The sequence below is a fragment of the Homo sapiens genome, chromosome 11 (assembly GCF_000001405.40).
Source record: "Homo sapiens chromosome 11, GRCh38.p14 Primary Assembly".
In the NCBI taxonomy this organism is placed as follows: domain Eukaryota; kingdom Metazoa; phylum Chordata; class Mammalia; order Primates; family Hominidae; genus Homo; species Homo sapiens.
The window spans coordinates 1,457,488-1,469,021 of NC_000011.10; the positions used below are offsets into that span (position 1 = coordinate 1,457,488).

Below are 11,534 nucleotides of genomic sequence, written 5' to 3' on the forward strand. Positions count from 1 at the left end.
GCTCCCCCCACTCCCCTGGGCCCATGTGTGGTGGGGGCAGGGCGGAGCACTGGGCACATGCATGGGCCTGGTCTGTCAGCAAGGGGGTGTGGGTGTGCCTCTGAACGCTGGTACGGCGTGGGGGCGCTGGGCGTCGTGGGGGAGCACCCGGCTGGACCCTGGGGGTCCCCTCTCCCAGCCTGCATCTCAGCAGCTCCGTGGCATGCTAGGGTCACCTCCTGTGTTTCCATGTGGGGTCCTGGAAGCCAAAGAGGGCCCCACTGCCCCTCCCCATGACATCCTCATTCCATCATCATGCCATCACCTGTGGGAGCCCCCCCAGAGTGTGCTTCACCTTGCTGCGGGCTGGGGGCTGAGGTCCCCAACAGCCCTGGCCCTAACCGAAGCCCCAGTGGGTGGAGGAGTAGCCCCCTTCTCCTGATTTTGGGAGCCAGGCTGGCACAGCGGGTAAGGAGGAGCAGGGTTCCAGGTGCTCGGCCCCGCAGGTACACGTGGCGCTTCCCTACAGCGGAGGCCATGCCGTCGGCCGGCAGCAGCCTCTGGCTCTCTGAGCCTTGAAAGCCTTCATCTTAGGAAGGGAAACCGAGGCCAGGGAACGACAGGGCAGCCACCTAGGCCAGGGATGGACAGGGCTTGTCTGGTAGGGCAAGCAGAAACGGGCCCCGGGGTACTGCCCAGGGTGTCCCCGCACCTGAGCAGCCATCTGGGTGCCTCAGTCGAGCGCTCCTGCGTGGGCTGTAGGCAAAGCTCCCCCAGCCTGGCCCCTTAAAGTGTGGTACCGCCTGTCAGCACGCAGCACTCCCCTGGAGCCAACTCCAAGCCCCTCTCCATTCCTGCCCCGGACCCTGACCTCAGTGGAGCCCACTGCAGAGGCTCTTGGGGGTCTATTCTGGGCCCCATCTATCTCCCTGTGGACTTGGGGAGCCCAGCCTATCCCCGTGATCTCGCTACGCCCAGCCCTTCCCAGCCCTGCCCCCCTCCCACACTGGATGCTTTTGTCCAGTGAGCCCAGCTCCAAGGATGTGTGGAAGGTGGCTAGCCAGCAGGGGGCCTCCTCAGACACTGCCCACCCCCCCAGAGACTGCGGCCGAGGGAGGGGAGGCTGAGAGCCCCCAGTGAGCAGGCACAGGCAGACCAGGGCGTGTGTCCACCCTGTGCAGGCGCCAGTGAGGGCCTTGAGGGAGTAGCCCCTCCCAGGGCCTTGCTCCCACCCCAGTCCTGGACTGGCAGCACCAACATCCCCAGGCCCAGCAGTAGGGAAGAGGGCCGAGGAAGAGGGTGCCTGCCTTGAGTTGAAGGGCAGCCGGAAGCCACAGGGCCCTGGAGCTGCTGAGTGGCACAGTGAGGATGCAGGCCACGGCCAGGGCAGAGTTGTCAGCCCAGGGGAGGGGCTAGGCCCACCCAGGGCACCGGCCATATCCAGGCTCAGGCTCAGGCTGCTGGAGGTCCGGCTGCTGCCCAGGTGGCTCCGCCTTGTTCCCTGCCTCCGCAGCCCCGCCTCACTCCAGGCCCTGCCCCTGCACTGCCCCTTATAAGCCCCGCCCCCTCTGGCTCTGGCCCCCCCAGTATTCCCCACCCATGCCTCTGGGGCCCTACCCACTCCTGGCTCCACCCCCTCCCCATCGAGGCTGTGGGCGTCCAGCCAGAAGGCCCAGGACAGCCTTTCACTCACTCCCTCCCTCCTCTCTCCATTCTGTACTCCAGACACCACTAACTGTATGGAAATGATGACGGGGCGGCTTTCCAAATGTGGTAAGAATCCCCCACGCTCACCTGGCACCTCCACCTGCCACTTCACCGCTCACCCTCAGCCCGCTGTGGCCGCCACCTGCCGCCCGGGTTGTCCCGGCCTCCCTGTGTAGATGTAGGCACCCAGCAGCCCAGATGTCCCCGGCCCCATCCTCTACCAGGAGCAGCCCAGGTCGCTCCCCTACCACAGCAAGCCCAGGCGGGGTTCCTGGCCAGACTCACCTCTGCCAGGCCCTAGGATCAGGGCAGGCCCAAGAAGGGGCTCCCAAGGCCTGAAGCCAGTGAGGGTCCCGCTGGTCCCACTGGTGCAGGCTGTGGCCTAGGGGAGGGGCCGGTGCCCATCCCTCTGTCCACTGGAGGCTGTGCCTGGCAGGGAGCGGAGGGGCCCACAGCTCAGGGCTCAGGTGGGGGTTAGGCTTAGGAAGTGGGATTGAGGGGCCTCCATCGACACACCTGGGCAGTGAGCACAGGGCCCCAAGAAGGGTGGGCTCCCCATTTCCGCCCCTCTTCTCAGGACTGCCCCCATCCCAGGGACCCGGGACATGACTCTAGCTGCTTGCCCCCAGCCCCCCAGCCTGCCTCCCACATCCACCCCTCCATGCTTGTCCACCCATCTGTTCATCTGTCTGTCTGCTGCTAAACTGTGTCCAAGCTGGCCAGGGGTCGGGCTTCAGGCCTCTCTGGGGAGGTGTGGTGGGCACACCCTCTCCCTGTCATCCACTGGGCCTCATGCAGTGGGGCCAGCAGCTGCCCCCAGGGTCCTGCGAGGCTTCAGAGCTCCCAGCAGGCCCTTGTCTTTACGCTGTCATCTCCGGCGTTGGGGTGGGTCGGCCCTCACGGCTGCAAGGTGGGGAGGGAAGGGGGGTGGGGCAGGGCCTTCCGGGCCAGGCCTTGGTGGGGAGGGAGGGGTCTCACCACCTGCCCCGAGCCTCGCTTCGCCAAAGGAGCACTGGGTCCTGCGCAACAGCTCGGAGGCGCTGGGGTCCTAAGTTCCTGGCCCCACGGCGCACAGCTTCCCCACCGCACAGCCCCCAGCGTACAGGGCCCCTGCCGGCCGCCGCCTGCCCACCCTGCTTGCCGCCCACCGGTCCCCGCTCGGCCCCATCTCAGCCTCATCTCTGGGTTCTTTCCCTCGTCGAGGCCTCTTCGTTCATTTGTTTGTTTGTTCTCTTTCTCTCTCCTTCCCTCCCCTCCTCTTTCTCTCCCCCTTTTTTTTCTTTTTTCCTTTTTTTTTTTTTTTTTGTCTCTGTTCTGTGTACCCAGGCAGCCCATTGAGTAACTTCTTTGACGTAATTAAACAACTTTTTTCAGACGAGAAGAACGGGCAGGCGGCCCAGGCCCCCAGCACGCCCGCCAAGCGGAGTGCCCACGGCCCACTCGGTGACTCCGCGGCCGCTGGCCCTGGCCCCGGAGGGGACGCCGAGTACCCAACGGGCAAGGACACGGCCAAGATGGGCCCGCCCACCGCCCGCCGCGAGCAGCCTTAGACACACTAGCCCCCCCCCCCAGCACAGCACTGACAGCGGCTGCCTCGCCGCCCGCCGCCCGCCCTGCCCCGAGTGGACCCGCGGCCGCGCCGCCCGTCCGTCCAGACTGTTCTCAGAGCCTGGGAGGAAAGGAAAGGGGCGTTGGGGCCGGCCTGTGGGCTGCGCCACCCGCGCCCGCTCTCTTTTCTCTCTGTCTCTGCCTCTGCCTGTCTCTGACAGCATCGCTTGTTTCCACTCTGATACCAGGAATTATCCCGAAAAGTTAACATGTCACCTCCACGAGGCCATCCTCTGTGACCGAAGGCAGCTGCTGCGGACCCGCCCTCCCTCCGCTCCTGCTGTTGCTGCCGGGCAGTGAGGCCCAGCCCAGCGCCCCGTCCACCCCGCGGCAGCTCCTCGCCTCAGCTCCGCACGGCCCGTGGGAGGAAGGCCAGGCTCGGGGGAGCCTCCTCCAGCCCGGCCGACCCGGACTCCCGGTCACCTGACCCCTCAGCAAGAACAGCCTGCCTGGTGGCCTTCTGGGGCCAGGACCCCTGGTGGGCAACGTAGCCACAGGAACAGGCCCCGTCCACCGCCTCCACGCCGCACCTGGAGGCCTCCTCGCAGGCCCGTGCCCCGCCTCCCTGGCTGCGCCGCCTCCGTGTAGTCTTGGCCTCCTCAGGCTGCCTCCCGTCCTCTCGTCTCACCCGCGCCTCCCTTGCCTCATCTGGGGCGGCTGTGGGCTCTGGCGCTCCTCTCTGGCTGAGGTGGAAACAGAGACACCCTGCGGCACCAGAGCCTTCCCAGCAGGCCAGGCCGCTGGGCTGGGATCAGTGTTATTTATTTGCCGTTTTAATTTATGGATTCTCCGCACCTCTGTTCAGGGAAGGGCGGCGGCCACATCCCCTGCCGTCTGCGTGTCTCAGGCAGTGGGGGGGCTGGGGCCAGGGCGCCCTCTGAGGACAGAGCTGGTGGGGCGCGGGGGGGCTGGCGAGCTACTGTAAACTTTAAAGAATTCCTGCAAGATATTTTTATAAACTTTTTTTTCTTGGTGGTTTTTGGAAAAGGGTGTGGGGGTGGGGGCGCCGCTGGGGCAGGGCCAGGTTTTGTGTTTTAGTCCCTTGCTCCTGCTTCTTTCTACACACACATCTAAAGACGGTGCGGCTCGCTCTGTCATGGGTTCCGTCTCTCTGTGGAGAAGCAGCTCCACCTCTGGGGGGGCTCGGGGCAGAGGGGCGGTGTCTTGTAGCGGGCGGCAGCGCCAGCGCCCCTCTGTCAGGCTGGGGCAATCTTGGTTTTGTGTCCAAAGGTGAAGGGGTAGGAGGAGGGCCCTCAGCTGGCCCTCCCCACACACAGGACGGCAGGGGCACTGTGAGGCTTTTCTTATTAAAATGAAAAAATTGAAAAAAAAGGACAAAGAGTCGGTGGCGCTCCTCTGCAGGGCGTTCTGTGCAGAGCGAGGCCCAGGGCGCAGCCCTCAGAGGGCTGCAGGCCCACCCTGCCCAGTGCCCGCCGCCGTGCTTCACCCCAGCTCCAGCTTCTGTGTTCCCTTCCGCCCATGTGCCCAGCCCTCCCAGGCGGGCACAGCCCGGGTGCGGCGGCCGTGGGGGACGGCGGGTCTGATGCATGCCTCTGCCATGGAGTCGTCTGTCTGCTTCGGTGCCTGCCCCTGCCTCCCACCCACCTCGTGTATAGATTTTAACGCTTCTGTTAACATTAGACCTCTGCCACAGGCTGGGATTTCTATACATAAGAACAAAAGCAAACACCTAGGACAGCAAACGCCAGGCGGTACAGGCGGGAAGGGGCTCTCCACGGAGATCGAGGACACGAAGCAAACTGCCTCTTGCTTGCCTTCCCCTTTTGTGCTTCGGACACACGCGGACTCCAGCAGGCGCCACGGAAATGGGCAAGCCCCTGCAGTGTACCCCTGTCATAACTGTGAGCAGCTGCAGCTCCGGAACAATAAATCCCTTCCGCAAAGACAGCGACGCAGGTCTTCATCTGGGCAGGGCGGGCGCGCAGGGCTCTGTGACAGCCCGGGACAGCTTCTTGTTCCCCACTTGCAGCCCCTGGGCTGCGCCAGTGTGAATGCAGCTACCCTCTGCCCAGCTGAAGAGGGTGAGATTCCGGGCGGCCAAGGTCAGAGGTCACTTCCGATGTGTGGGGCCATCCCCCGAGGCTGCCCCAGCCTGAGGCGGGCTCCCGTTGAGGGCCAGGGCCTGGGCGGAGCTCTCTTTGCACGGCACCTCTGCCACCCCACAAGGCCTGCACGGCCACCCAGGGCCTGGGCCTTTTCCTGGAGAATGAGCCTTCTTCCCACTCCTTACTTGGGAAGGGTCCGGATAGGGTGCCATGACCCAGCCTTGGGAGTGAGGGGCCCAGGCTGAGCACAGCCCCTGGAGCTAGAGCGGGGATGGTCCCAGCCATACCTGCCACAGAGGGCAGCCAGGGCCGTGGGCTCCACTGGCACGACGCCCTGGCCCAGCTGCCCCTCTGCCGCCGCAGCAGAAGGGCAAGTCCAGGCCCATGCTGTGTGAGGCCAGTGGCCGGGAGTCCACCGCGGCCTGGAGGAGGCCAGCAGCAGGCCTCAGCAGGGTCCACGCAGAGACTGCGGCGTCCACAGAGCTGCCCTGGGAGGCCCACGCACACTTCCCTCCCACGTGAAGGACTCAGATGCGCCGGACTGCACCCAGCTGTCTATCATTGGAGCAGGTGCTAAGCACATGGCTGAGGGGGGAGATGATGATGGGGTGGGGGCCACATCCCTGGTCTCAGCCCAACAGAAGCTAGTAGCTGTCCCACCTCCATTGTGACAAAACGTCCCCAGACATTGCCATGAGTCTCCTGGTAGGGGACAGAATCACCCCCAGGTGAGAGCCACTGCCCTGAACTTCAAGCTGTGCCTGTACCCATCTCTCTGGAGGGAGCCAGGGGGTCACCATGTTAGTCAGGCTTAGTTAGCTCAGGGCTCCGCTCAGAGCCCAGGACACAGAGGGAAGCTGAGCCGTCCTCTGTTTGACCCTGGACTGCCAAGTGGCTGAGCTCACAGGAGGTTGGTACCCTGAAGAGAAGGCACTTGGGAGGGGCCCAGGGAATCAGGATCCATTCCAATCCCTGGATTACAGTTTCCCAGTTCATTTTACCTTAAGAAACAGGCTGAGGAAAGGAATTTGGCTGCTACGGTTCAGTGAGGCACAGGACAGTCTGTGGGGTCGCAGGCTACTGGCCCTGGACCGGAAGCCTTCCTGACCTGTGGTCCTGCACCTGCTTCTCTGAGAGCGGCTGACACACGCACTCCTGGCCCTCCTCTAAACATTCACGGTGAGAAGTCAGCCTTCTCAGGCCCATGACTGGAGGCCCAAAAGGAAACAGTGTGTCAAGAGTCCTGCCAGCTCCCCACTGCTCAGGAAGGGGCTGTGTCCTGCAGTCCCACTTCTGACACCAAGCTCTCTTGGTTGTAAGTAACAGAACCCAAAGCGAGCTAAGCCAGAATCTGCTGGTTTATATAAAAAATGAAAACAAATATGGCAGGACTTCTGATGTGGCAGACACTAGTCTCACTTTACACCAGTCGGTCCTCACATCATTTCTATGAAGAAATTAAAATGGAGATTGAAAAAGGATGTGGTGGCCGGTCTGCCCACCTAGAGGATGGCTTCACAGTCCTGGTCCTCAGTTCCCAGGTGGCTAATCCGACGGACACATCTGGGCTCAGAGCCTGCCACGGCCTGGCCTGAGAGCTAGGGCCCTGGTGAACGAGCCGACTGGTGAGCCCACCCATGGGATGGCAGGTGGGTGGCGGGGGACGACAGTCTGACCCACCTCCTGTACAGGATGCAGGTGGGAGGTGGGTGCTCCAGGGAGGGGCCCTGCACACAGCAGTCCAGGCCTAGGTCTGCTCCATGGGGAGCCTGCCCTGGGCTTTTCCGTCAGCTGAAGGCAGAGGCACAGAGCCCCAGCCTCCTAAGCTATAAGATGGAACAATTCCTGGTGTCACAAAGCCTCAGAGCTTGCAGGAGGCTGATGCCCGCATGCCAGCTTCAAGGTGGGGCGTTCCAGCTGCCCTGCTCCCATCCCGCCAGGGAGCTCACCACAGGTGGACTGGCCCTGCCTCCCCGTCCTGCCTGCCTCCTGCCCTCCAGTGGTGTGGTGCCCAGGCCCTCTGCCCTAAGTCCAGTGCCTCCCCACTCACTCCAGTGACTTCTCCCCATCCCACCCCAACTCCCTACCACCAACCCAAGTCTCTTGGTGTGATCTGGCAAGGGGTCGGGGTCAGCAGAGAGCCAGAGAGGAGGAGGCCAGCAACAGGAGGGAGAACCAGTGGCGACTTTCCAGGCAGCGGGGCCTGCTGGAGAGCGGGCAGGGCTGACAGACGTGCAGGGAACACTACCCGGGGAGCCACGTTCGTGCCAGCCAGACTGGCACAGTCTACACTGTGGGTCTCATGCCGGGGAGTTGGGCCCTCTTGTGCACCTGCCCCCAGGACCCTGTAAGAACGCCTTGGCCTGCTTGGTAGATGCATTGTCTCCTGTGGTTTCCTATCACCGCCATAGTTACCGCAAAGTAAGAAGCTTAAAACACCAATACCTCACAGTCCCAGAGTCAAGGACTGGGCAGGTCTCACTCAAGGGGTGCCCTGGTCTAGAATCAAGGTGTGCTCCTCCTGGAGGCTCCAGGGGAGGACCTGTGGCCGCCTGCATCCCGTGGCCTGGGGTCTCCACCTTCGCAGCCAGGAGCGTGGGTGGAGCCTCCTCACAGCTGTGTCCTGCGCATCCCAACCTGCGTCCAGCTTCCACGATGAAGGCCTCGTGCTCTCACTGGGCCCAGACCATCTCTGCCTCTCAAGGTCAGCTGATTGCCTTAATCCCATCGCTGCTTTCATTCCCCTTTGCTGCTGGGTGGCACGTTCACTTCCATGGGACTAGATGTGGACATCACCAGTGGTAAGGGATGTCTCAGGCCGAACGCAGTACCCTCCCACTCCCGCTGCTTCACACCCATCCCACGTGCAAATGCATCCCTCCCCTCACGGCCCCAACAGTCTCCACCAAACACAGCACCCAGTCCAGTCCCAAACCTCACGTACAGCTCATCAGCTCACAAGTCGCAAGTCGCACCCTCTAAGCTACCCCGATCAGGTATGGGTGACACTCTGGGCATTCCACCCTGGGGCAGTTTCCTCTCCATCTGTGGACCCCGAAAGCTAGAAAACCAGTTACCTGCTCCCAAAATACGACCAGAGAACAGACGCGGAATGCCAGTCACAGACACTCCTGTTTTCAAGGAAAGTTTGGCTGGGTGTGACGGTCCAGCACTTTGGGAGGCTGAGACAGAAAGGATCACCTGAGTCCAGGGGTTCAAGACCAGCCTGGGTAGTGAAACTTCAACTCTACAAAATATTTCAAAATCAGCCGGGCGTGGTGGCTCGCACCTGTGGTGCTGGCTACTCAGGAGTCTGAAGGGGGAGGACCCCTTGAGCCCGGAAGTCTGAGGCTGCAGTGAGCTAGGATTACCCAGCACTCCAGTTTGGGTGACGGTGAAACCCAGTCATTTATATGTGCATACACACACACACACACGTGACACACAGAGAAAGCTGCAAGGTGCTTGTGTCGCTGCTCCCAAGAAATCCAAAATCCAGCTGGGTACACTTCCTCCGTCCCAGCAAGGCCTGGGAACTCCTTCTGTGGGTCCCAACTCTGCCTCTGTGCTGACACCTCCACCCTCAGGGCCATGCTCTCTATTTATGAAACGTAGCAAGTGTTTGCAGCTGAACAGTTTAGTCTGCTTCCTGCCTGCTGATTTTTGGGGCTCAAGAGCCTTTCATCACATCCCCTCTGCCTCAGTCCAAGCCAGCTGAGTTTCTGATGGTTTAAGAGCCTCTCGTGGTTCCCACAGGGCTTCACCGGATCCGTAAGACCCAAGGCTCGTCCACAGACCCAAGGCTCGTCCACAGACCTCCCACAGCGGTCCCTGCTTTGAGCATCTGCTTGGGTGACCCGGGGCATCCACCAGCCACAGGCTCGCCCTCCTCCAGGAGCTCTTGGTGTGGCCGTTACTCTGAGCACACATTCCTGACAGTGAATCTCCTGACATCAGCATCTTCAGCTGAGAATTCCCGATGGCAGGGTGCTCACCCCTCTGCTAATGTCCTTCTCTCACTTAGTGGCCAACCTGAGCAGCGCAAGGGGCCCAGGCTGACCACCCTCGAGTGCTGCCCGCACGTGGCAACGGGACAGAGTGCAGCTGCACCTCTGCCCCCATGGACGGGGCTCTCCCTGGCTCCCGTTCTTTCCTTTCCCTCTGAGCTCCCACCTGCACCTTTAACCCCACATGTCCGAGGACGGGCGGGTCAGAGGGGCTCTGACTCTTCTCAGAGCCCAGGCTGGTTCCTCCGAGCCCCTCGAGCCCCGCTCGCCTCCATCCTTCTACCACCTGTTTAACAACATCACGGGCTTTTTCTATCACCCTCAAAATTCTTTCAGCCCAATTCCAAAGCCACTTCCACCTTTCTAGGTATTTGCTACAGCAGTGCCTCATGCCTAGAACCAAAATCTGCCTTCATCTCCTGTTGCTGCAGTTGCCATGAACTTCGTGGCTGGAGGCAAAATGAACTTACCTCAAACGGACCTCACCGGGCTAGTCTGCAGGGCCAGTTCTTTCTGGGTGCCTTCCTTTCCCAGCTTCTAGGAGCTGCCTGCACTGCTGACTCAGGCCCTTCCCACGCCGCGCTGTCTTCCTCCGCTGCCTCCCTGCTCAGTGCCCTTGGCTCTCCTGACAACACTGGGCCCATCCAGATAACCTCCCCTTCCTCAGGTCAGTGACCGGGAACCTGATTCCATCTGCAGCTTCCATCCTGCTGTGCTATCTAAGGAGACAGTCTCTTAGGATTAGGACACGGATCTCTTTTGGAGACCATCATTCTGCCTTTCAGAACACAGACCATAGATAGAGACTTAGTGAGCCATGGCTGCAGCTGGGGGCGAGGCTGAGCCCTCAACACTGAGACCCCCCTCAGTGTACAGGCCTCCTGTTCACGGAGGGAAACGGAGGCAGAGGCAGGAAGGCTTGACCAGGACTCCAGGTCTTACAGCAAGAACCCATCCCAGTGGAGGACAGCGCACAGCACAGTCCCCTCAGCCCAGGAGAGGGACAGGTCCACCAGACAATGGCCTAGCAGCAGGCGCCCCCAACGCCCAGCGCCAGCCCTCATCCCAGGCACCCTTCCCAAAGGAACTCATGCCCGCGACTCCCACGTGCCCTGGGGACCCTGCAGCTGCATCCTGAGTGTGAGACCGGCACGAATGCGCGCCCTGGACACCTCCTAAGGCCGTCCCACGGGCTCCACACACGCTCCATCTGAGGCTGCCTTGGAGGCTCTGGCTGGAATCCCGGTGTCCTCCTAGCCCCTTCAGCCCCAGTGGAGCTGGCCCCCAGCCCCCTGTGCCCTACAGCACTCTCAGTCCAATCTTCCACCCAGCCTCCGCTCGGCAGCCAGGCCCCAGGTTCGCCAGCACACAGCGACCCAGGCTGTGTGCCAGGCTGGCTCCCTGTGGCCTCAGCCAGGAGCTCCCTGCACACCCTAGACGGGGCCTCAGCCAGAGGGTGGCCCCACCAGGCCACCCGCCCCTGTTCTTGCCCTCCCTCGCCGGGGGACCTCCTTGCTACCTAGGCCAGCGCCGGTCCCTGCCTCAGGTTCCTACGCTCAGCCCCTTCAGTCAAGTTCTGTGGGTGTCCTGGGGCCTCCACTCTGGGGGTCCACGCAGAGCATCAGAAGACAAGGGTGGGTGGCACCCAGCAGGCCTCTCTCTGGGAACTGGGTTTGGCTCCAGGCACTGACTCACCATGCAGCCCAGGGTCACGGAGTCAGTGCGGGCCCTCGTGGGGAGGTGGCGGACCAGGCGGTGAAGGCCTTAGGGTACGCGTGGATGTCGGAGGAGACGCCCCCAGCTGACTCCAGACATGTTCTGAGAAGCCCAGAGGCTGTCAGCTCTCGGGGTGGGAGGCAGAGACAGGGCAGGGGAAGGGCCTCTGACCTGCAGCTCGATCCCTGGGAAAGCCAAGAAGGGGCCTGTTGGCCACAGGTGCATCATGCAGGCTGAGCCCGAGGCCAGGGGAGCACCACGACCTGGGCAGGCCCCCCTAGCTAAGGGGGATGGGGGGGGGGCGGACTGCCCGAGGTCACTGTGCAGCAGGCGCCATCGGCAGGAGCCCACAGTCCTGAAGTCTGAACCAACTAGGCCCTGACCCTGGAAGCCCTCTCTTCCCGCTTCTCAGCCCACTCAGGTCCTGATAAGCTCCAGGCTTCAGCTTAGG

General features: G+C 62.4%; 1 protein-coding gene across 29 annotated transcripts in view, besides 1 other annotated feature; it reads left to right on the top strand.

The window, feature by feature from the left end:
• BRSK2 (BR serine/threonine kinase 2) overlaps nucleotides 1-5,202 on the top strand; it is a 72,756-nt gene extending 67,554 nt beyond the window's left edge. For 11 of the 29 annotated variants that reach the window (NR_046331.2, NM_001440665.1, NM_001440668.1 and 8 more), the window contains 2 exons: nucleotides 1,705-1,752; nucleotides 3,483-5,202. Coding sequence is in view for 26 of the 29 variants with exons in the window: in NM_001440665.1 (NP_001427594.1) it covers nucleotides 1,705-1,752; nucleotides 3,483-3,502 (68 nt within the window). In the remaining 3 variants the exon portion in view is untranslated. Of the gene's footprint in view, nucleotides 1-1,704; nucleotides 1,753-3,012 lie in introns of all 29 variants that reach the window. The other 18 variants (XM_017018533.2, XM_006718374.3, XM_017018536.2 and 15 more) reach the window with 3 other exon arrangements.
• Nucleotides 493-1,055: an enhancer, noted in NCBI's record as "H3K27ac-H3K4me1 hESC enhancer chr11:1479210-1479772 (GRCh37/hg19 assembly coordinates)". NCBI's record gives its function as "activates a minimal SCP1, AML or CMV promoter by ChIP-STARR-seq in naive H9 embryonic stem cells {active_cell/tissue: H9 hESC(naive)}" and the evidence as "EXISTENCE:reporter gene assay evidence [ECO:0000049][PMID:30033119]".
• Nucleotides 5,203-11,534: the final 6,332 nt, after the last annotated feature.